The following is a 22,317-nucleotide window of genomic DNA, read 5'->3' on the forward strand; positions in this document are numbered from 1 at the left end:
CGACATACTTCAGTTTCTCAAATTGGTTATATAAACGTATAACAAGGTGGCCACCTAAGAATGCATGATACTCATAATTTTTTTTTTTTTTTCTTGAGACGGGGTCTTGCTCTGTTGCCTAGACTGGAGTGCAGTGGCATGTTCTTGGCTCACTGCAACCTCCGCCTCCCCTCCCAGGTTCAAGCGATTCTCCTGTCTCAGCCTCCCGAGTAGCTGGGATTACAGGCATGTGCTACCGTACCCGGCTAATTTTTGTATTCTTAGTAGAGACGGGGTTTCACCATGTTGGCCAGGCTGCTCTCAAACCCTTGACCTCATGATCCACCCACCTTGGCCTCCCAAAATGCTGGGATTACAGGCATGAGCCACTGCACCCAGCCGATACTCATAATATCTTTATTCAAATTATTGGCTGGGCTGTCACAGTAAAATCTAAAGTATTCTTTATGAATTTATGAACTCTATATGAAATACTGTATTTTAACACAGATTCCTTTAGTCATCGCTTAACTTACTTGTTTGTGTTTTAGAAGCATGTTTCTGGAGAAAATCAACTATCTGAGCCAAAACCTTCTTATTACAATGCGTTGATAATTTTTCATCACATTCATAACACCTGAAAAAGTATAAAATTTAAGAAAATATTATGAAAATATTCTCAATAATTTTGCACATCAGATAACAAAGTTGGTATTTAGTTACTTTTGTCTTTAAATTACATGGGAGGGAATACAAAGGGGAAGCCACCAGGTAAGTCTAGAGAAATAAGCAGAGGACAATTCATACAGAGACTTACAGTTGAAATGAAAGTTTTGGCAGTTTATCTTAGGTATAATGAAATGCCACGAGAGGGTTTTTAAGCAGGGCCATGATATGGTCCAACTTACACTTTATTTATTTTTTATTTTTGAGACAGAGTCTCGCTCTGTTTCCCAGGCTGGAGTGCAGCTGTGCAATCTCAGCTCACTGCAGCCTCTGCCTCCAGGGTTCAAGTGACTCTCCTGCCTCAGCCACCCAGTAGCTGGGATTACAGGCATGCACCACTACGCCCAGCTAATTTTTGTATTTTTATTAGAGATGGGGTTTCACCATGTTGGTCAGACTGGTCTCGAATGCCTGACCTCAAGTGATCCACCCGCCTCGGCCTCCCAAAGTATTGGGATTACCGGTGTGAGCTACCACACCCAGCCCCAACTTACACTTTAAAAACATCACTCTCACTAATGTGATAAACTAGATTGGAGGGATTGGAGGGCATTAGGAAGAGAAACAGATTAGTATAGTAGCAGAGGATCTGGAGAGAAATGGGCATTCTTTATATACATATTTGCAGGTAGAAACAGTAACAAATTAGATATAAAAGAGGAGGGAAAGGGAAGTGTCAAAATAACTGCCATGGGTAGGGAGAAGTGAGTGAGACAATGTCAGCGATTCTCAATGTTGTTGAGAATCACTGATATTCTCAATGAGGAGTGATTTTGCCACCTAGGGGACATTTGACAGTTTTGGTTCTGACAACTGGTGAGAGGTGAGAGGACCACTACTTGTATTTAAGTGGGTAGAGGCCAGGGATGCTGGTAAACATCCAACAACGTACAGAACAGCACAGCAAGGAATTAATCACAGAACATTAACAGTCCAAATGCCAATAGTATTGAGATTGAGAAATCCTGGCCTAGACGAAACAAGACTTGCTGTGAGTTGATAATGTTTAAAGCTGGAAAAACAACAACAACAACAACTGAAGCTGGTTGATGGGTATAGGTAAATTCATTATACCACTCTGTCTACTTTTGTTAACAGGCTAAAAAATAAAATAAGATAAAAAGGGGGAAGGAAATAACTGCCAGGCTTCTAGCTTGATTACATATAGAGATAGGTAAGACTCAAAGAAATAGCTGTTCTATTTTGCTTGGCGCTTATTTGGAGGCAGAGGGTTAGGAAAGACATTTTCAAAAGCACATTCCAATTCAGAAAACTACCCTCAATTAAGTTTACTCATTAATACATCGTATTAATTTGTTTCTTCTGTATATTATAATTACCTGTTTCCTTTATCCTCATGAGATCCAGTGATCATTTAAGAACATGTGTTGGAAAGTGTTCAAAGTGTTTTATAAATGTAATGCATTATGGCCGGGTGTAGTGGCTCACAACTGTAATCCCAGCAGTTTGGGAGGCCAAGGCGGGAGGATCACTTGAGGTTGGGAGTTCGAGACTGGCCTGGCCAATATGGTGAAATACCAACTCTACTAAAAATACAAAAATTAGCAGGGCGTGGTGGCGGGCACCTGTAATTCCAGCTACTCCCAGCCCAGGAGGCAGAGGTTGCAGTGAGCCGAGATCACGCCACTGCACTCCAGCCTGGGTGACAGAGTGAGATTCCATCTCAAAAAAAAAAAAAAAAAAAACATAATGCATTACACCAATGCTACATTACATGTTCACAATCTTCTTACCCACCTTTTTCTAATTCAGTAATTCTTAAACTGTGGTCTACAGACCAGCAGCACTGGCAACACTTGGGAGCTTGTTAAATGCAAATTCTCTGGCTCCTCCACCCCAGAACTACTAAATTAGAATTTCTAAGACTGGGATCCTGCAATCTGTCATAACAAGATCTCCCTGAGATTCTGATGCACCTAGAGTTTGAGACCACTAAAGTGAAATCCTTATTGAACTGCCACACTATGGCACCATTGCTGTCTCCATTGGTTCCAATGCATCATTTATATATTAAGTTCCCTCTGTTCTTTCGTCATTCTCCCCAGTACTACTACTTGGGACTCACAACAACAAATAAAAACACAAATGCAGCTGGTGCCCAACCCTTCTGGCTGTATTAAAGATGATGACCTCTTCTGTGAGCCAAAATACCCTTATATTAATTTTAGACAAAATATTTTTATGTTAAAGAAAATCTGAGACTCCTGAAAATTCATTCAAGGAACCCTTAGGAGTCCATAGATTCAAGTTGGAAAATTATTGTAAAACACAGAGGAAGCATTTCAACATAGTGTCCATTTATACTACCAAAACAGTGTGATATGCTAATAAGAAACTAGAAAATAAAAAAACTTGTTTTTGGTTTTTTTGAAACGGAGTGTCACTCTATCACCCAGGCTGGAGTGCAGTGGCAACCTCCATCTCCCAGGTTCAAGCGATTCTCCTGCCTCAACCTCCTGAGCAGCTGGGACTACAGGCGTGCGCCACCATGCCCAGCTAATTTTTGTATCTTTCGTAGAGACGGGGTTTCACCATATTGGCCAGGCTGGTCTCAAACTGCTGACCTCAAGTGATCCGCCCACCTCAGCCTCCCTAAGTGCTGGAATTACAGGTGTGAGCCATCACGCCCCACAAAAAACTTGTTTTAGTACCTGGATTTTTACTTCATAACCACAAAAAGGTAAATATTACATAGTTTCCTTACAGGTAACATAGGAAACTGGACTAGATTCTCAACCAGGATTAAACAGCAGAATGACCTGAAAAGTTTTTACAAGCTACTTATGCCCAGCTCTTCCCTCTCCCTTCAGAAAATGACCTGACTGCTTGAAGTATCTTCCTTCTCTACAACACTAGAATTCTGTATTAGCAAGTTCACTACCAAAAAAATCAACTAAAAAGAATTTTTCTTTACATTATACAAGGAAAATGATAGAGAAAAGTAGAAAGGCTGGGCGCAGTGGCTCACGCCTGTAATCCTAGCACTTGGGGAGGCCAAGGAGGGCATATTGCCTGAGCTCAGGAGTTCAAAGACCAGCCTGGGCAACATGGTGAAACCCTGTCTCTACTAAAATACATAAAATTAGGCAGGCATGGCGGCATGCGCCTGTGGTCCCAGCTACTCAGGAGGCTGAGGCAGGAGAATTGCTTCAACCCACGAGGCAGAGATTGCAGGGAGCTGAGATCACGCCACTGCACTCCAGCCTTGGCGACAGAGTGAGACTCTGTCTCAACAACAACAAAAAGTAGAGAGATAGTTAAAATTTTTCCAATTTAAATTTTATATTCACAGGTAATATTAATTTTCTTGAAGTATCCCATAGATTGTGTTCAGGTTAAAAAACCATAAGCTGATAGAACATCTTTAAATATTTTACCTTAAAAGCTTAAAGAAAAAAAAAAATTGGGGGGCTGTGGTTAGTGGACACAAGAACTAACAAAATTTAACTTACCATATAATCCATGTGCTCAGATTAATTATAATACAATGGGGCTCTGTTCTGGAACTCTTAAAGTGCTTCAATGAATGTTGGCTTTCTGAGTTTTTACCACATCCCTGAAGATGAACAGAATTTTATTTTGTATGACTTACAAATGTTTGTTTCAAATTAATCAAAACTTAAATTATACTCACACTTATACTGAAAAGTTTTGTTTTTAATTTCAGGCCAGAGGAGAAAGTTTCAAAAAAGTAATATGGATTCTCATTAAATTTAATTTCTTGCCAACAGGCTAACATGCTCAATATACAGTATTTACCTAAAACAATCATGGGCAAAGTTAATTTCCCTATCATTTAAAAATGTGCACACTGTGGAACACCCAGCATCCTGGCAGGCCAGTGGTGCCCTTCTGCAAACACACATTTCCCAATCCCGTACACAACTTCACCCCAGCCTACTGAGAACTACTGAGACACAGACCAATCATAGCGATTTCCCTCACTAGGTAAGTAAAGAAATGAGATGCAATTCTGGTTAATGCAACATGAGGGGAAGTCAAATCCGCTGAATCTTTCCAGAAGGCTTTTTTTTTGTTTGTTTTTTAAGAGGAACACAACCATGAGGTTGAGGATGGCACAGCAGAAAACAGAATAAACCTCAGTTTTTAATGTTCTTTCCATTAAATTAACTAATCCTGAAGTGGCCTTACTTCTGGACATTTTGTGTGAAATAATAAAGATTTCTCTTATTTTTTTAAAAAAGTATATACTTTTAATTTCATTAAAAAAATTCCTTTATTACAGATATCAATAACTTTTAAACTTTAAGATTTTAAATTACTTTGCAAAAGCAGCAGAATAATCTGTTTTGAGAGAGAAAAAAATTAATCTGAAAGGTAGATCCATTTCCTAAGTAAATACAAAAGGTAAAGACTGGTCCAGATATGGGAACTACTGCAAATAGGTTGAATTACCTCTGCAAGTATTTATAAACCACACCTGATTACTTTCTGAACATAGCATACCTTTTACTTTACCTTAACAATCATTTTTAAGTTCATTCCTGGAAAATTTCTATCTAAATTGGAATAAATTTATCTTAACTCCTATGCATGACCAACAGTCCAACTCACAATAAGCATTTAAGGAAAACATTTCAGACAAACTCACATATAAATAATACTTTTCTTACCTGGAAGCCACACTTGAGGCACAACCAAATATCAGAAGTAAGTACTAGCTGCCCATCATAGAATCTTCTTTCTTTTAAACATTCTGAGCAAACTGACCACAGATTCTCAGCTATTGCTCTCTTTACATGATTCACGCTGATAGCATGACTTACATGTTGGCAAGTTAAACCTACTGAATAAGATAAAACAAAATCTCAACATTTTCTTTGCTACACCAAAGTGCTACCATTACTGAGCAAACCTCAAAAGTATTAAATGCTGTTAACTAAAAAGCACAGAGATTGAACACACAAAATAACTCAAAAGATATATGCTATATAATTCCATTTATATAATGTTCATGAAATAACATAATTATAGAATGAGAAGAGATTCATGGTTGTAGGGAGCAATGGACGCAAGGCAGAGGGTGTTGCTATAAATGGACAGCACATAGAGTGGTGATGACACAGTCAAGTATCTTGATTGGTGGTGGTTATACAAAGCTATACATGTACTAAAATGGGATGATGTTTCGATAGCCAGTTTGCTGCACTGAAGGATGTCTGAATTATCTCTTTAAATATCATTAGGACCTTATCTGATGTCCCTAATTTATTAGAGTTTAAATTTTTGAACTAATTTTAGATTCACAGGAAGGTATAAAGAAATATACAAGGAGGTCTCATTCACCCTTCACTGAGCCTCCCCTGATGTTAATGTTTTGCACTGCTATAGTAAAATATCAAAACCAGGAAGCTGACGTTGGTACAATCCTTAGAACTTATTCGGATTTCAGAAGACATAGGCACTCATATGTGAGTGTGTTTGTGTATAGCTGTATGCAACTATGCATACCTAAAATGGAAAAAATATATTAAAAATATCCCTTTAAATGGAGAGAACTAGCAAGAAAGTGAGGAAAATCCTCAGAGGCCCAAATCAAAAGCATGAGGCTAAAGAGAAAACCAAGCCCTGAGGCCAGCAGCTCCCAAAAGCCATCTGCCAAGCTCTGGTGGCTTGGTGACATGGTTTTAATAGGCCATGAGAAAGAGACCAAAAAAAAAAAAAAAGCCAATCTAAGTTACTTCATGTTATAAACTAAACAAAATCCTAATAAAAATGCCAACAGGATTTTTTGGAACTAGAAAAGGTGATTCTAATATTTATGCAGAAAACAGTAAAAATAAAGAGTAACAGATTTCTTAATTAAAAACATATACAGTCTTCCCTCAGATACTTGAGGCAGGGAGGTGGGGTGGGGTAGTTGGTTCTAGGACCTCCCCACATATACCCAAATCTGTGCATACTCAAGTCCCGCAGTGGGCCCCGTGGAATCTGCATTTAGAAGTCAGCCTGCCAAGTATGCAGTTTTCACGCATCCCAAGAATAGTGTATTTTCCATCTAGGTTTGGTGGAAAAAAATTTGTGTACAAGTTGATCCTCAGCGTTCAAACCCATGTTGTTGAAGGGTCAACTGCATTGTTATTTCTTCTCAACACTATTTGGGATGCCATATATCACAATTTACCAGCAATATCATCTGAAGAGTCTTCATCATGAGGTACAGTAGGCCTTTTACTTCTTTTGGCTTTCTCAGGTAAAGCTTTAGTTGGATCTTTCACCCGCATCTGTTATTTACTGAAGGGATTGAGGGAAAAAAATTCATACATTTTAGTCTTCAAAATTAAAATTTTATATTTTATTTAATGTGTATTAAAACTGAAATGACTTCAATTTCAACTGGTCCGGGAAATCAACAGAGGAAGAAGAGGGGAACATCACTTGAAATGAAATAAATCTTTGTTAAATCAGTATACACATGGTATATTCCATTGGCTTTTGCCAACTATACCATTATGGACTAAATGTTTGTGTCCCCACTCCAAATTGATATGTTGAACTCTAATCCCCAAAGTGATGATACTTGGAGGTGAAGCCTTTGAGAGGTAATTAGGTCATGTAGGTGGAGCCCTCATGAATGAGACTGGCCTCTTATAATAAGAGGCTAGAAAGCTACCTTTGTATCCACATGAGGATATACGAGAAGATGGCCATCTATAAACCAGGAAGAAGGCCCTCACCAGATACTAGATTTGCCAGCATCTTGACCCTGTACTTCCCAGCTCCCAGTATTGTGAGAAATAAGTCTGTGTTGTTTAAACCACCCAGTCTATAATAATTTGCTATACCAGGCTGAACCAAGACACAACCCCTAAATATATGATGTCCAGGTGAATGACCAAAACTAAAGTTTTCATCAACGGAGTAAGTATTGCTTCTGGATAATGAGTTCTCTTTACCCTTTCCTCCCTTCTGCTAGCAAGGAAATAGTAGGAGCTGGATGAGCCATACTGGATCAAAAATGGATAGCTGTAAGCCAAGCATAGTAAAGCCACTCTATACCTGTGTTGTACAACTAGCACTGGAATATTAAGAGAAAATTAAATTTCTATCTTTTTAAGCTACTACATTTTTGGGGGTTTTTCACTCTAGCTTTTTATCATGAAAAATTTTAAACATCTACAAAAGTTAAAAGAACAGTATAATGAACACTCATATACTAATTAGATTCCACATTTATATTATTATTACTATTATTATTATTATTATTATTTTGAGATGGATCTCGGCTCACTGCAACCTCCACGTCCTGGGTTCAAGCAATTCTCCTGCCTCAGCCTCCCAAGTAGCTGGGATTACAGGCGTGTGCCACCAGGCTTGGCTAATTTTTTTTGCATTTTTAGTAGAGATAGGGTTTCACTGTGTTAGTCAGAATGGTCTCGATCTCCTGACCTCGTGATCCGCCCACCTCAGTCTCCCAAAGTGCTGGGATTACAGGCGTGAGCCACCGTGCCCGGCTATTATTATTTTTTGAGACAAAGTCTCACTCTGATGGCCCAGGCTGGAGTGCAGTGGCCTGATTTCAGCTCACTGCAGCCTCAACCTCCCCAGGCTCAGGTGATACGCCCACCTCAGCCTCCCAAGTAGCTAGGACTACAGGTGCACACCACAATGCCCAGATAATTTTTTTGTATTTCTTAGTAGAGATGGGATTTCCCCATGTTGCCCAGGCTGGTCTCGAACTCCTGGGCTCAAGCAATCCACATGCCTTGGCTTCCCAAACTGCTGGGATTACAGGTATGAGCCATGGTGCCCCACCAATTCCACACCTATTAACAATTAGCTATGTTTGTTTTTATCTAAATATCAATATGTGTGTATAGAGAGACACATATATGTATGTGAGTGTGTGTATATATATATATATATATATATATATATATATATATATATACACATAGTTGAACTATTTGAAAGTTGTAGAGATCTTGACAGTTCATCCCTAAATACTTCAGCATGTATCTCTTAAAAATAAGCACATTCTCCTATATAACAATGTAATCATATCTAAGAAAATTAATAATTTTCTAATATCATCTCATATTCCATCATATTCTAATTTCCTTAGTTGACCCTAAATTGTCTTCTATAGCTGGTTTTTTGAAAAAGATTCAATCAAGGTTTGCACTTGATATTGGTTATGTCTCTTTAGTATCTTTTAATCTATTAACAGAACAGTTCTTCCAACCTGTTACTTGCCTAAGACTTTAGCTTTTTAAAGAGATCAGGCCAGTGCATGAGTCACCTTGAGGGTCTTGTTAAAATGAAAGTTCTGATGCAACAAGTCTGGCACAAGACCTGAGATTCTACCTACCTAAAAAGCTTCTAACTGAAGCCACTGCTGGGGGCCCATAGAATACTCTTTCGACAGCAAAGTTATATAATGTCTCACACTGAATTTGTCTCTTTCTTCATAGTGTTATTTACCTCTATCCCTTATATTTATTAAAAATTCAGTTAATTATCAAAGATTTTAGATACAAGCTAAGCATTTTTTAAAACTACTATATTTTGGAGTCTCTGTTAGAGTAGCTTGGCCTACCTTTTACTCTCCTGCCTGGTGGCTAAGCAACATCGCAATTTTCATGGTTGCTGACTTACTTCTCAATGATCAAGGTAATGAATCTTTCAATTCAGTACTAAATTCCAAATCTTGATTTATTCATTCCATAATTCACAATAAGGGAGCTTTCAAGTTTACCATTAAGTCCAACGGTCATCACTACTGAACTAAGTTGCAATAAATTAAGGGCTTCCGGGTTAGGAACATGTAAAAAGCCTCTGAGTTCCTTGAGCACTTCATCTCTACCTTCTCCCTCCAAACTTCCTCATCTACTCTCCCCTACAGTTCCACCTTATAAAATCACTAATTTAAGTATCCCCTTCTCTGACAGCAACTTCCCAGTTCTTCCAACTTGCCTGATCAGCCACTCATATTTTCCTATAGTGTCCAGGCTGACAAGAGGCTGCATCTCAACAAGTCCTTCCATGACCCTTACAGCAGGGCAGGGAGAAGTGGAAATGGCAAATGGAGAGCTGCTTCCTAAAGCAAGTCACATGGCACATTTAACTTCAAGCAGACATGGAGAGGGGTTGCCCATGTACAAAGAGTGCAGCATTACATGTACCCAAAAATAGGTGAACCGGAATACTTGTGCAGAGCCTTAAGGACTACATCACCTCTCTCGCAGAACCCAATCCTAGATGAACCCAATTAACCATTTTCTCCATGTCGGGAGAAAGTCTCTTAAGAAAGCAGACTAGGTCCATTATTATTCACTTCACCTTCTGGTCAACTTACATACTATCCACAGAGCCATTTCAAATCTTCTTCACTTTCCTCAAACCTCTAACCCCTCCAACTCCCAACTAACTTACCAAAAACTGATCTAGTCTTTTATAAGGGAAAAGAGACATAAGCAGACGGCAAATTTGATCTTTCTAACCCCAAATTTGCAAACCTACCTCCATCAATTTAAATTTGATGTCCTGAAAAGAGATAGGTATAACTAATAAAGTACAGGGAAAATGGCCTATGAGAAACTGATTATATTTTCTCGCTGTGGTACAGATAAGCTCTTGATAAAGATGAGCATTAACACAGATAATGCTAGCAAAATAATAAACAAAACCAGGCATTTGACCTACATACTGTAAGCAACCTGTGCCTTTTTTCAAAAACACTGACTCAAAATTAACTTGGTAATGTAGAGGCAATTTCTGATGATTTTTCTGCCATATGTAATGTCTAAACAGACAGAATCATTTGGTACAGTAACCCAGAATTCGGCAATTATTTATCTGTAGTTTTCCAATTTCCATTTGAGGCAAAAGGGCAAAATTAAAAGTCCAATTATTAGAGCTTCCAATACTTTTTATCATCAAAATTGTGTCTGGGCACTGGAGACTGGGAAGGATGGGAGTGGGGTGAGGAATGAGAAATTGCTTAATGGACACAATGTACATTATTCAGGTGATGGTTACACTAAAAGCCCAGTACCACTAGGAAATATATCCTCGTAAAAAAACGGCACTTATATCCCTTACCTTTATACAAATTTACAAAACTGTGGCTGAGGATCTCCGTGATCTCCCCCACATTTAGAGCTTTGATAGGATGCACGGGACTCAACATATAGTTGAATTCATGGCTGACATTTATTACACAATGCAGTATGGATATAAAGGCTCATCATAATAGAAAAAGACACAAGCGGAGTCTGGAGGAATCACGTGTAGGCTCCTTATGCGGTCTCCCTCCCAAGAGGGGTCAAACAAAACACATCCTTCCTCCATCAGTGAAAATGCAGCAGTTTCCGCGCAGGGAAGCCCATTAAAGACTTGGTGTCCCGGATTTTTACAGAAGCTGGTAATTTCGGCATAAAACATACTGTTCAGCACAAACCCAAAAATCTAAGTTCCCAGATGCCAAACAAGCACCAACATTGCAAGCAGTCCTTTCTAAGGATAGCAGTCTTAAGGCCTGCTATGTTAACTCTTTTTAGCACAAATATGTTCTGGCCATTTTTCTCATGCGGTTTTCCAAACAATAAACTTTACAGTTTTCAAGTCACCATCACTTAACACTTGTCTTTTCTCTAAAGTAGGATGTGCAACTAAGTTGTTTAGAAAGCTTTGTTTTTAAACAGGCTATGCAAAAAGCCCATATCCTTAAGAAAAAAAAATCCTTTTTTCCTACTCTTGGGCAATTATTTATGGGGGTTGGAAAGAGAAGAAAAGGTCACTATCTCCTTTTATATACCAAGCTCAAAAAGATGAGCAGCACTTATGGTTTTGCTGTGTATCACGCTCAGTTCTAAGCACTTCACAAATATTAACCCACGCAACCCTCACAACCACCTTAGGAGATAAGTTGCTATTATTTTCCGCATTTTACACTTGAAACTGAGAAAGAGAAGTGAAGTGACTTGCAGAGGTCCCAAAGCCAGTAAGCGGTGGATGGAGATGCGGACCCAAGCAGTCCGGCCCCGGAGCTCCTAATACACGACGCTTCCAGAAAAGTCATTAGACAGGCTTCCTCCGGTCACCAACACACACACACCCCGAGGATGTGAAGAGAAATGCGCCGCGATGAGGCGGACGGAAAGGTGTGGGGCCGCCGCGCGCCCAGGTCACCAGGGGACTCGGGCCCCTCCCAGGCCAGCCCCGACGCCCAGGGCTTCTCCCGCAGCCGCATGGACCCGGAGCCGGCAGAGCGGCGCTCACACGGCCCTCGGTGACCGCCCGGCGCCCCCAGGGATCAGGAAGCCGAGTGGGGTGGGGAGCCTCTCTTCCAGCCTCGCCCACCCACAAGGGGGTCAAGGTCGCCGAAGCGAAGACCGAGAAACTGCGGCGACCATACCGCCGCTGCGACCAAAGCGCCGCGTTCTCAACTCACCCCGCCGGGCCGGGCCGCAGCGTCTACAACCTGGGGAGACTGCGCCTGCGCGCTCGTCCCGCTCCCGGCAGAGGTGGGGCCTCGTTCGCCCGCCCCCAGCCAGGACCGGGAGGGTTCCAGGCGGCGCGCCCGGGGCCCGGGAGCGCGGGGAGGGGTGAAAGGGCGGGGCCGGCTTGCGTGGCGCCTGCGTTCTGCGTGTCCGCAGAGCCCGGAGAGTCCCTGATAATCTAAGACTCATAGCCACCGACTAGCAATTTGTTAGGATCCTGGGCCAGCGTGCGCACCTCGGATGTTGCAGGAGTCCGGCTTAAGTCCCACTTGTTGCTGGGCACCTTCTGAAACAGCCTCCGATTTCCCTCCGTTACCCTCCTCTGAACTCTTTTTTTTTTTTTTTTTTTTTTGAGACGGAGTCTCGCTCTGTCGCCCAGGCTGCAGTGCAATGGCAAGATCTCGGCTCACTGCAACCTCCGCCTACCGGGTTCACGCCATTCTACTGCCTTAGCCTCCCGAGTAGCTGGGACTACAGGCGCCCGCCATCACGCCCGGCTAATTTTTTGTATTTTGTTTAGTAGAGACGGGGTTTCACCGTGTTAGCCAGGATGGTCTCGATCTCCTGACCTTGTGATCCGCCCGCCCCGGCCTCCCAAAGTGCTGGGATCACAGGCTTGAGCCACCGCGCCCGGCTCCGCCCCCACACCCCCGCCGCCCCCTGAACTCTTAAAGTCACATCTAACATTCGTCATATATTATTGTGGTTTTTCCCCCATTGCTGTTGTCTTACCTATCCTTCTCTCTTCCTAGCTAGATAGTACATTTCTTGAAATACACCTATACCTCCTCAAAGCCCGGTTATCTGTTGAAGTGGCCAGCACATTGCATGTTTAGTAAAAGTAGTTGGTTTGAAAATATTTTGTTTCAATCATGGATATTGCAAATGCCAACACTGGTTATGGATAGGTTCTAAAAGTCTCCTGATCTTTCACAACTCTTCAGCCAAGGGACAAATGTGGCTTTAAGGATAAGAGCATTGGCGTAGAAATCAGAAGATACGAGAGTTAAAATTGCAAACACTAAATTTTTCTTTAAAAACTCTTCTAACAGTATTTACATGTGGAGAACTTGGCAAAGAAGGTTGATATTTGCTTATATCGTACTTAACAAGGACCATTCATTTAACAAACATAATTGAGCACAGATATGCCAGTTGCTGTTACAGGTATAGAGGTACACTATCATTTTGGGGTTAGGATAATTTTTTTCCCTAGGGAAAAAGAAAATATTCCTCAAATAAGAAGAGGTCATGTGGTGTAATTTTGAAGGCAAAATTGTCTACTTCATAAATCAAAAGCTTTCATGTATTTTAACTTTGGATTTGACCTAGAACTTGGAAGAACAAGAACAAGCAAACTTGAGCAAATCTAAATAATTTGCATCTTAATTGTGTCACTGTAAAAGAGATTTTAAAAAATATATGTGGAAACCCAGTTTATGATTGATTTTTTAAAAGGGATTGAATTAGATTATGGAAATTTAGGTTCTTTTCTTCATAAGAAAAAAATTAGAAATTATCAAATACCATACAATACTTAAATTTTCTTGGAAACGACAAAATTCAAAGCTATCTTGATTTCCACTAGATAGACCCTTAGCATAACCAAAATCTCCAGAGATTTCATTCTTTGTTTCAAAACTTGGCATAAATTAAGGAAAATTCTCTAACACTATTTTATTTTATTTCTGATGTTCCTCATTTACCTTTTCACTTAATTGAATGTAAAATTTACTACTTGATGGATTATTCAAAGAAAGGAAATTATTTTTAAATATTACTCAGTAAGTATGTTTTAGTGCTATTACAATGACATTATAACAAAACATCAAATAAAAATATAGATTACCTTAAGATTACCTAACCATGTATTTTCCAAATAATGCTAAATATCTTAAATTTACCATCATGTTCTGTTTGGAAATATGGGGAATCTTTGTTAAGCTGTAGGCTATATATATTCCTCTTATATTTCTATCAAGTGTATTTTTTTCCTTTTTTTGTTTTTTTTTGAGACGGATTCTCTCTCTGTTGTCCAGGCTGGAGTGCAGTGGCATGGTCTCAGTTCACTGCAACCTCTGCCTCCTGGGTTCAAGCAATTCTCCTGCCTCAGCCTCCCTAGTAGCTGGGATTATAGGCACTTGCCACCACACATAGCTAATTTTTTTTTTTTTTTTGTATTTTAGTAGACAAGGTTTCACCATGTTGGCCAGGCTGGTCTTGAACTCCTGACCTCAAGCAATCCATCTGCCTTGGCCTCCCGAAGTTCTGGGATTAAAGGTGTGAGCCACCGAGCCCAGCTCCTTTTTATCAAACACCAAATTGAACCAGATATCAAGTATATATTTTTAAGATACACTCTTTATTTTAAAAGTAATACCTGCTGGTTTCTCATCTTCCCCTCCTTCCCACACTCCCATTTCCTCTTCTCTGCTTGCTGTTTTCTGATATATAGTTTTAGGCACTGTCTTTGTGCGTACACCAGGCATTTGTACCATGTTTTTATATGACTACCTTTATGCTAAAAGATAACACAGCTTAGATTACAGTCTACATTCTCTTCTATGACTTGAATTTTTCACTTCACAGTATATGTCAGACATATTTTCATATTAACCTATTTTTTTTTTTTTTTTTTTGAGACAGAGTCTTGCTCTGTCACCCAGGCTGGAGTACAGTGGCATGATCTCGGCTCACTGCAACCTCTGCCTCCCGGGTTCAAGCGATTCTCCTGCCTCAGCCTCCCGAGTAGCTGGGGCAACGGGCATGCGCTGCCACACTTGGCTAATTTTTGTATTTTTAGTAGAGACGGGGTTTCACCATGTTCACCAGGCTGGTCTTGAACTCCTGACCTCAGGTGATCTGCCTGCCTCGGCCTCCCAAAGTGCTGGGATTACAGGCGTGAGCCACCGTGCTGGGCCATATTAGCCTCACTTTTTTGAGCAGTTGCTTAAGTCTCTTGTGAATGAATGTTTTTATTTTTTCATCAGTTTCTTGTTAGTGTACACTTGTCTTTGCTTACTAACACAAGTATTCTCAGTAAATTGTTCACTGTGGAAATGCTGAGTCAACAGATGTTCATTTAAAGTTTTGATAAAAATTCTTTAAAAAAAAGAGAATCACATGAAAGGCCATACATTTCCTAATTTTTCATTTTATTAGTCTGTTATATGGGGACTTAAAGTTGATTTTAAAAGAAATGGGTGTGAAATGACTTTATTGGTCAAAAATAAAATAAAATAAAAAGAAAAGGGAAAAATCCCAAGTCTCTTAAAAATTGTCTTCCTTCTGCCGGGCGTGGTGGCTCACTTCTGTAATCCCAGCACTTTGGGAGGCTGAGGCGGGTGGATCACTTGAGGTCAGGAGTTCAAGACCAGCCTGGCCAACATGGTGAAAACTCGTCTCTACTAAAAATACAAAAATTAGCCAGGCTTGGTGGCTACTGGGGAGGCTGAGGCAGGAGAATCGCTTGAACCCGGGAGCCAGAGGTTGCAGTGAGCCGAGATCTTGTCACTGTACTCCAGCCTGGGCAACAGAGTGAGAATCTGCCTCAAAAAGAAAAAAAAAGAAGAAAAGAAAAGAAAAAAAAAAAAGAAAAAAAGTCTTCTTTCCAATAGCCTTTCACTAACACATGAGTAACAACAAAAAATTAAATTAGTTGTTTGAGAATTAATGATTCATATCAACTCAGCACTAGTAAATCTTTCTCAGAAAAGTGAAAACTATTTCTCCCTCTTTTATCAATTTTAAGTCTTGCTTAAATTATTCCTTAACAATGATGGAATAACTTGGACACAATGATCAAGATAACTAGGAACAATGATCAAGAACCTCTTTTGACAAGATCTTTTTGCTGCAAGGACTCTTAAATAAACTAAGTTTAGCAGTGTGCTATATATGGAAAGGCATATTTATCTCCTCAGAAAAAAAAGTCCTACATAAAAATATTTTTTAAATAATAATTAGTTATGAGCCCTAAAAGAATAATTGTTTAGTAATACTTCTCCTGCAAAAGCAGAAATCAGATTAAATATTATTCAGTGAGGCCAAGTATATTGTTTCCCTATCTTGTGTTCATACTACCTGTGATTTATGATGTATATTTAGAATGAGGATGCCACAGAGACTACATGAATCTACAGTATATAGTGATATCTTAGTTAAAAGTGAATCCACAAAATAAATTACACGGAGACTATGGTTAAGCTCCAAATTATTTGGAAAATAATTATAAATGATGTCATTGGTCTAGAAATCTGAAATGGTTTATAGCTTATTAAATTATTGATAACTGAAGAATTTAAAAGTAAATGCTTAATGAAATGATTCCTTGGACATACACTTTAATAATGCCATTTAAACATGAATATTTTAATTTTTTTTTTGAGATAGGGTCTCACTCAGTCACTCAGGCTGATCACAGTGCACTATAGCCTCATACTCCTGAGTTCGGGTGACTCTCCTGCCTTAGCCTGCTGGTAACTGGGACTACAGGTTGGAACCACAGCACCTGGTCAAATATTTTAATTTTTAACTGTAAATCTATTTGCAGTTAAATATAGCTTTTATTATGTTTGGGAACCAACCTGAGAATAAATAAAAAATAAGATAATGAGAAACTTTATGTGGTAGTTTTAATAATGACCTCCTGCCCCAAAGATGTTCATGTTCTACAAACCTGAAACTTGTGAATGTGTTACCTTAACTGGCAAAAGGGACTTCGAAGATGTGATTAAATTAAGTATCTTGAGATGAGAAGATTATCATGGATTATCTCTGTGGTCTGAATGTAAAGGTCCTTATAAAAGAGAGGCAGCAGAATCAGAGGAAGAGAAGGAGCTGTGATAACAGAAGCAGGAGTCAGAATCAGGGATTTGAAGCTCAAAGCTGTTGGCTTTGAAGATGGAGAAGGAGGCCATGAGAGCCAAGGAATGCAGGCAACCACTACAAGACAGAAAAGACAAGTCAAGAAATTCTACTCTGGAGCTCAGAAGAAACACAGCCTTGCTGACACCTTGATTTTAGCCAAGTGAGACTTCTAATCTACAGAATTGTATATAGTAAACTTGTGTTGTTTTAAGCCAGTAAATTTGGGGTAATTTGTTACGGTAGCAATAGGAAACTGACACATATTATACAATAGTTGGACATAACCCTGACAAAGCTATAGTCAAATATCATCAATTCGTGGAGGAAAGATGGTAATATGACGTTATTTTAATGCCTACATCAGTTGAGCCAGCTATCAGAGTTAAGAACAATTCCTAGAAAAGTTATCCATGTAGTCAGTCTGTTTTAAACAAATCCAGTGTATGAAAATCATGTTATAAGGTAAATTGGAAACGTTTATTTCCTTTAACTCTTTAAATGTGTCACACTTTTTGCTTTCTATTTTTAAACTTTGTGTCTCCTACAAAATAATAATCAAAAACAAAAAAAGTAAGCATAACCCGTAGTTTCTTTCCAAATGCCTTTAAAGTTTCAAAGCAGTAATTACACCTTGCGGCACTACCCGGTTCGGCCGGTGCCTGGCTGGAGGGCGCCGGAGAGCCTGGAGCAGGGCGCCAGGAGGCCGGAGCAGGAGGAGAAGGAGTAGGAGGAAGTGGTCACTAGCGCGGCGGCCGCCGGCCCGCAATGGTGCTACCCTGGTTGCTGCTCGAGACTGCGCGCAGGGCGGTCCTCGGGTCCGCGGAGGCTGCGCTCTGCGGTGAGCTTGGTGGTCCCTGGGGAAAGGGAGAGCGCCTAACCTTAGACTTCAGGCAAGGGTTAACATTGGTGGGGGTGCTCGCTTCTTTAGACTTCCAGTTAAAAGTCAGACCCATCACTCTTGGCACCTGGGGATGTAACACCCACCTGGGGAAGATTTCGGGCTACCCGAACCTGTGGGCGCTCTGGGGACGCAGGGACAGAGGTAAACATTGCTCCAGCGAGGTCGTATGGGAGGGCGTTTATATTGGTAGTGGTGCTTGACTGAGCAATACATGAAAGCCAATTTCGCGACTCAGAGGAGCGAGCAAGATGGCCACTCCCTGCCGGCGAGAGTCGTAATGCCGAGCCCAGCCTTGCGAGTTACATTTGTGACCCGCTACAGAGCAGCGCTCGGCGCTTCATGAAACAGCCACCTAGAACTATAACGTGTTAGAACTATAAAAATACCACCCCTCATTTTACCGATGAGCCAGCAGAAGCCAGAGAAATGAAGGTGGTTACCGGAGGCGTTGGGTCTAGAACTCAAAGCAGTCCCTTCTTTTCGCTTTGCATGCTGCCTCTCCAGCACCAACTTTTATCTGTGGATGCAGCTACAGGGACCCAGCATTAACACAGCTTACCCCCAGCCCCACCTACCTATTTTAACTGTTGGTAAGTCCTCTGTAGTTTAAGATGTGCTTTTCTATGCAAATTTTTTTTCTTTTCTCCTTTTTTTTCTTTCTTTCTTTCTTAAGAAACAGAGTCTGGCTCTGTCGCCCAGGCTGGAATGCAGTGCTGCAATCACAGCTCACTGCAGCTTGAAACTCCTTGGCTCAAGCGATCCTCCCCTCAGTCTGCACGTAGCTAGGACTACAGGCGGAGGCCATCAGGCCCAGCTGATTTTGTTTGTTTTGTTTTTGTAGAGATGGGGTTTTAGCTATGTTTCTCAGGCTGGTCTCGAACTCCTGGCCTCAAGTGATCCTCCTGCCTCGGCCTCCCACAGTGTTGGAATTACAGGTGTGAGCTACTGCTCCTGGCCACAGAGTGTTTCCTTTCACCTTTATTCAAGAATCATTTGGTGGGGCGCGGTGGCTCTTGCCTGTAATCCTAGCACCGGGAGGCTGAGCTTTTTGAGGTCAGAAGTTCAAGACCAGCCTGGCCAACATGGCAAAACTCTGTCTGTAGAAAAAATTAGCTGCTCTTGGTGGCACACACCTGTAGTCCCAGCTACTTGGAGGGCTGAGGCAGGAGGATCACTTGAGCCCAGGAGGTCGAGACTGCAGTGAGCCAAGATCACATCACTGCACTCCAGCCCGGGTGACAAAGTGAGACCCTGTCTTTTAAAAAAAGAATCATTTATTGAGCTCTGGGACTGGCGTGGTGGCTCACGCCTATAATCTCAGCATTTTGGGAGGCCAAGGCAGGAGGACTGCTTGAGCCCAGGGGTTCGAGATCAGCCTGGGCAACATAGTGATACCCCCATCTCTACTAAAAAAGAAAAAAAAAAAACCCAGCATGGTAGCACACACATGTAGTCCCGGCTACCGGTGAGGCTGAGGTGGGAGGACTTGCTTAAGTCTGGGAGGTCTAGGATACAGTGAGTCATTATTGCACCACTGCACTCCAGCCTGGGCCACAGAGCAAGACTTTGTCTCAAACATGAAAAATCAATCATTTATTAAGCTCCTAAACTGCCGGGCTTCCTGCTGGGGATACAGCCTCTGCAGCTCAGTTCACCCATTTCTAGGGAAGGCAGACACAAGTAATCACCACACACAGCCCAGTCAAGTGACACTGCAATGGAAAAGAACAACTGACTCTGAGTTCTAGAAAATATTAGAAAAAGGTATCTTTTCATTTAAATTATGCTGTAATACAAAAATCAGCCAAGCGCTTGTAGTCCCAGCTACTAAGGAGGCTTAGGTGGAAGGATTACTTGAGCCTGGGAGATCATGCCACTGCACTTCAGTCTGGTCGCCAGAGCGAGACCCTGTCTCAAAATAAATAAATATACATATAAAATTACGCTAGTGGTTGGGCACAGTGGCTGACGCCTGTAATCCCAGCACTTTGGGAGGCCAAGGTGGGTGGATCACCTTATGTCAGGAGTTTGAGACCAGCCTGGCCAACATGGTGAAACCCTGCCTCTACTAAAAATATAAAAATTAGCCAGGCATGGTAGCACATGCCTGTAATCCCAGTTACTCGGGAGGCTGAGGCAGGAGAATTGCTTGAACCTGGGAGGCGGAGGTTGCAGTGAGCCAAGATTGCACTATTGTACCCCAGCCTGGGTGACAGAACAAGACTCCATCTCAAAAAAAAAAAAAAAATTATGCTAGTATTAAATGATTCTATCCTCATATGAAAACAAAACACAACATATTGCTCCTTTATATATCCTCCTCTTCCCACTCTTCTCCCCAGATATGGCTTGATACACATCCTTCTAAACACTTGTCTATGAATATACATAAATAAAAGTACATAAAAATACTGTATATACAAATGTGATCTGTGCATACTTTTCTGCAATTTTTTCTCAGGTATTCAGAAGCCTTCCATGGCGGCACATGTAACTCTCTTAACTGCTGCATATATTCCACCATTTCACCAGTCACCTATTGATGAACATTTTGATTTCCAATTTTTTTGCTATTATAAAGTTGTTCAGTAATTATCATTGTACATACCACTTTGTGTATTTGTACAAATATTTTACTAAAATAGATATCTAGATGCAAAATTGTTAGATTAAAGGAGAGGTGGCAAGGGACATTTAACTGGGTCTTAAAGGAGAGTAAGAGTGTTCCATGGAGAGATGAGGGAGAAAGGTATTCCTTTCAGAATGGGCAGTATGTATAAATCACGAAGGAAAGGCAGAAATAGATATTGATTGATTGCACTGTATATACATTACCTTACTTAAAGCTCATAGGTTTAAATGATAATAATATTCCTATTTTACAAATAAGAAACTAAGTCCTACAAATTTTAAGTAATTTCTGTAGGGTTACAGGGATAAGTGGGTAAGCCAGAATGTGACTCTAGGTTTATCTGACTCTAAAATCCCTTCTCTTTTCATTATAAAACTGTATTTAGAGCACACATATACTTTTTTTTTTTTTTTTTTTTGAGATGGAGTCTCGCTCTGTTGCCCAGGCTGGAGTGCAGTGGCGCAATCTCCGTTCACTGCAACCTCTGCCTCATGGGTTCAAGTGATTCTCCTGTCTCAGCCTCCTGAGTAGCTGGGATTACAGGCACGTGCCACCACGCCCAGCTAATTTTTGTATTTTCAGTAGAGGCGGGAGTTTCACCATGTTGGTCAGGCTGGTCTCGAACTCCTGACCTCATGATCCGCCTGCCTCGGCCTCCCAAAGTTCTGGGATTACAGGCGTGAGCCACTGTGCCCCGCCAGGAGCACACATATACTTTTGATGTAGCTGGAGGATAGAGCAATTGGGGCCTAAGAGGAGAAATGAAAGGAGGAGTGGGTTTGGTAAACTGTGCTGGTAAGGGGTTGTTGAAAGGCATTAAGGAACATACTAAGGAGCTTGGATTCTATCCTGTGATGTAATGCTGCAGTGACATCCAGGTGATGTTAAGTCTACTAATGTGGAAACCACAAAACTGGAGGTTATTCAAAGGTTAGGCTGAAAAGGTAAAAATCAGGTGCAGTCTGTATTACTCTTGAAAATCCCTCTAGAGAACCACACATCATCTCTCAGTAAATCCCAAATAGCCAGTTTTTCTTCAATATAGGAACAGATTAGTGTTTCTTTGAGCACAAGATGAAGTGGTTGATTTGCAAGTGGAGCACATGCTGTACATAAAAACACACACTATTGGCTTTAAATAATTAGTATGCAATAGAGGCTCATATCATGAGAGGCTTGGGGGAGCTGAGCCTCATCAAACAAATAGGCTTACTTCAGGCTTTTGCTCACTGAGTGTTCACTGGTTCGAGTGTTCACTGGTTCCAGTGTTCACTGGTTATTTCCCCCATCCTCCACCTCCCAATAGGAGTATAATTGAATTATAGAAAGTTAAATATCAGTTAGATGACTACAAGAAAAACATAACTATTTGATCCAGTTAAAGAAGTTACTTGCTGTCACTGTCTTTCACAGTGGCTAAGAGCCAGAATCTTGAGTTTAACATAAATTATAAAATTACCATAGTTTTCTAGTTCCTAACAATGAGAAGCAGTAATGAGCATTAATTCAGCCTGCTGGCTCTTTATATTCTGGGAATTCAGAAAACAGCTAGCTGGATGAGAAACAGTTTGATTCCAGGTTAAGATCTAATGTTGTAGACACAGTGAATCAACTTTTCAAATCTGAAGGGGGTGAGGAAACCTATATTTTTATTTTTAAGTTTTGTTTATTGTGGTAAAATATGTATAAAATGTGATTTTAACTATTTTGAATGTACAATTCAG

The 22,317-nt window shown here is 40.7% G+C and overlaps 1 protein-coding gene, 1 long non-coding RNA gene and 1 pseudogene across 48 annotated transcripts in view, besides 9 other annotated features; 1 reads left to right on the forward strand and 2 right to left on the reverse strand.

The window, feature by feature from the left end:
• USP45 (ubiquitin specific peptidase 45) overlaps positions 1–14,597 on the reverse strand; it is an 85,522-nt gene extending 70,925 nt beyond the window's left edge. For 14 of the 26 annotated variants that reach the window (NR_144344.3, NR_144345.3, NR_144346.3 and 11 more), the window contains exons 1-5: positions 12,143–12,174; positions 6,872–6,981; positions 5,361–5,533; positions 4,179–4,282; positions 516–616 (exon numbers count right to left, since the gene is read on the reverse strand). Coding sequence is in view for 18 of the 26 variants with exons in the window: in NM_001346024.3 (NP_001332953.1) it covers positions 516–616; positions 4,179–4,282; positions 5,361–5,533; positions 6,872–6,971 (478 nt within the window). In the remaining 8 variants the exon portion in view is untranslated. Of the gene's footprint in view, positions 1–515; positions 617–4,178; positions 4,283–5,360; positions 5,534–6,871; positions 6,982–10,791; positions 12,175–12,426 lie in introns of those variants that run through there. The other 12 variants (XM_047419423.1, NM_001080481.3, XM_047419424.1 and 9 more) reach the window with 6 other exon arrangements.
• Positions 11,182–12,089: an enhancer, noted in NCBI's record as "H3K27ac hESC enhancer chr6:99962307-99963214 (GRCh37/hg19 assembly coordinates)". NCBI's record gives its function as "activates a minimal SCP1, AML or CMV promoter by ChIP-STARR-seq in naive H9 embryonic stem cells {active_cell/tissue: H9 hESC(naive)}" and the evidence as "EXISTENCE:reporter gene assay evidence [ECO:0000049][PMID:30033119]".
• Positions 11,912–12,011: a silencer, noted in NCBI's record as "silent region_17418". NCBI's record gives its function as "represses an Ori minimal core promoter by ATAC-STARR-seq in GM12878 lymphoblastoid cells {active_cell/tissue: GM12878}" and the evidence as "EXISTENCE:reporter gene assay evidence [ECO:0000049][PMID:35858748]".
• Positions 12,062–12,431: a silencer, noted in NCBI's record as "silent region_17419". NCBI's record gives its function as "represses an Ori minimal core promoter by ATAC-STARR-seq in GM12878 lymphoblastoid cells {active_cell/tissue: GM12878}" and the evidence as "EXISTENCE:reporter gene assay evidence [ECO:0000049][PMID:35858748]".
• Positions 12,062–12,995: a biological region, named in NCBI's record as "H3K27ac hESC enhancer GRCh37_chr6:99963215-99964120".
• Positions 12,090–12,995: an enhancer, noted in NCBI's record as "H3K27ac hESC enhancer chr6:99963215-99964120 (GRCh37/hg19 assembly coordinates)". NCBI's record gives its function as "activates a minimal SCP1, AML or CMV promoter by ChIP-STARR-seq in naive H9 embryonic stem cells {active_cell/tissue: H9 hESC(naive)}" and the evidence as "EXISTENCE:reporter gene assay evidence [ECO:0000049][PMID:30033119]".
• Positions 12,742–12,961: a silencer, noted in NCBI's record as "silent region_17420". NCBI's record gives its function as "represses an Ori minimal core promoter by ATAC-STARR-seq in GM12878 lymphoblastoid cells {active_cell/tissue: GM12878}" and the evidence as "EXISTENCE:reporter gene assay evidence [ECO:0000049][PMID:35858748]".
• Positions 14,598–17,518: 2,921 nt separating the features above from the next.
• On the reverse strand, positions 17,519–20,990 carry LOC124901365 (uncharacterized). The gene is made up of 2 exons (XR_007059691.1): positions 18,537–20,990; positions 17,519–17,914 (listed from the first exon to the last, which is right to left on the reverse strand). It is a non-coding gene; the product is annotated as an uncharacterized LOC124901365 (long non-coding RNA).
• TSTD3 (thiosulfate sulfurtransferase like domain containing 3) overlaps positions 17,800–22,317 on the forward strand; it is a 66,727-nt pseudogene continuing 62,209 nt past the window's right edge. For 15 of the 21 annotated variants that reach the window (NR_197373.1, NR_197375.1, NR_197383.1 and 12 more), the window contains exon 1: positions 17,800–17,898. The product of NR_197373.1 is annotated as a thiosulfate sulfurtransferase like domain containing 3, transcript variant 7 (transcript). Of the gene's footprint in view, positions 17,899–18,465; positions 18,552–22,317 lie in introns of all 21 variants that reach the window. The other 6 variants (NR_197380.1, NR_197371.1, NR_197381.1 and 3 more) reach the window with 1 other exon arrangement.
• Positions 17,972–18,161: an enhancer, noted in NCBI's record as "active region_24857". NCBI's record gives its function as "activates an Ori minimal core promoter by ATAC-STARR-seq in GM12878 lymphoblastoid cells {active_cell/tissue: GM12878}" and the evidence as "EXISTENCE:reporter gene assay evidence [ECO:0000049][PMID:35858748]".
• Positions 18,252–18,301: an enhancer, noted in NCBI's record as "active region_24858". NCBI's record gives its function as "activates an Ori minimal core promoter by ATAC-STARR-seq in GM12878 lymphoblastoid cells {active_cell/tissue: GM12878}" and the evidence as "EXISTENCE:reporter gene assay evidence [ECO:0000049][PMID:35858748]".
• Positions 18,342–18,411: an enhancer, noted in NCBI's record as "active region_24859". NCBI's record gives its function as "activates an Ori minimal core promoter by ATAC-STARR-seq in GM12878 lymphoblastoid cells {active_cell/tissue: GM12878}" and the evidence as "EXISTENCE:reporter gene assay evidence [ECO:0000049][PMID:35858748]".

The sequence above is a fragment of the Homo sapiens genome, chromosome 6, assembly GCF_000001405.40.
Source record: "Homo sapiens chromosome 6, GRCh38.p14 Primary Assembly".
Taxonomy (NCBI): Eukaryota; Metazoa; Chordata; class Mammalia; order Primates; family Hominidae; genus Homo; species Homo sapiens.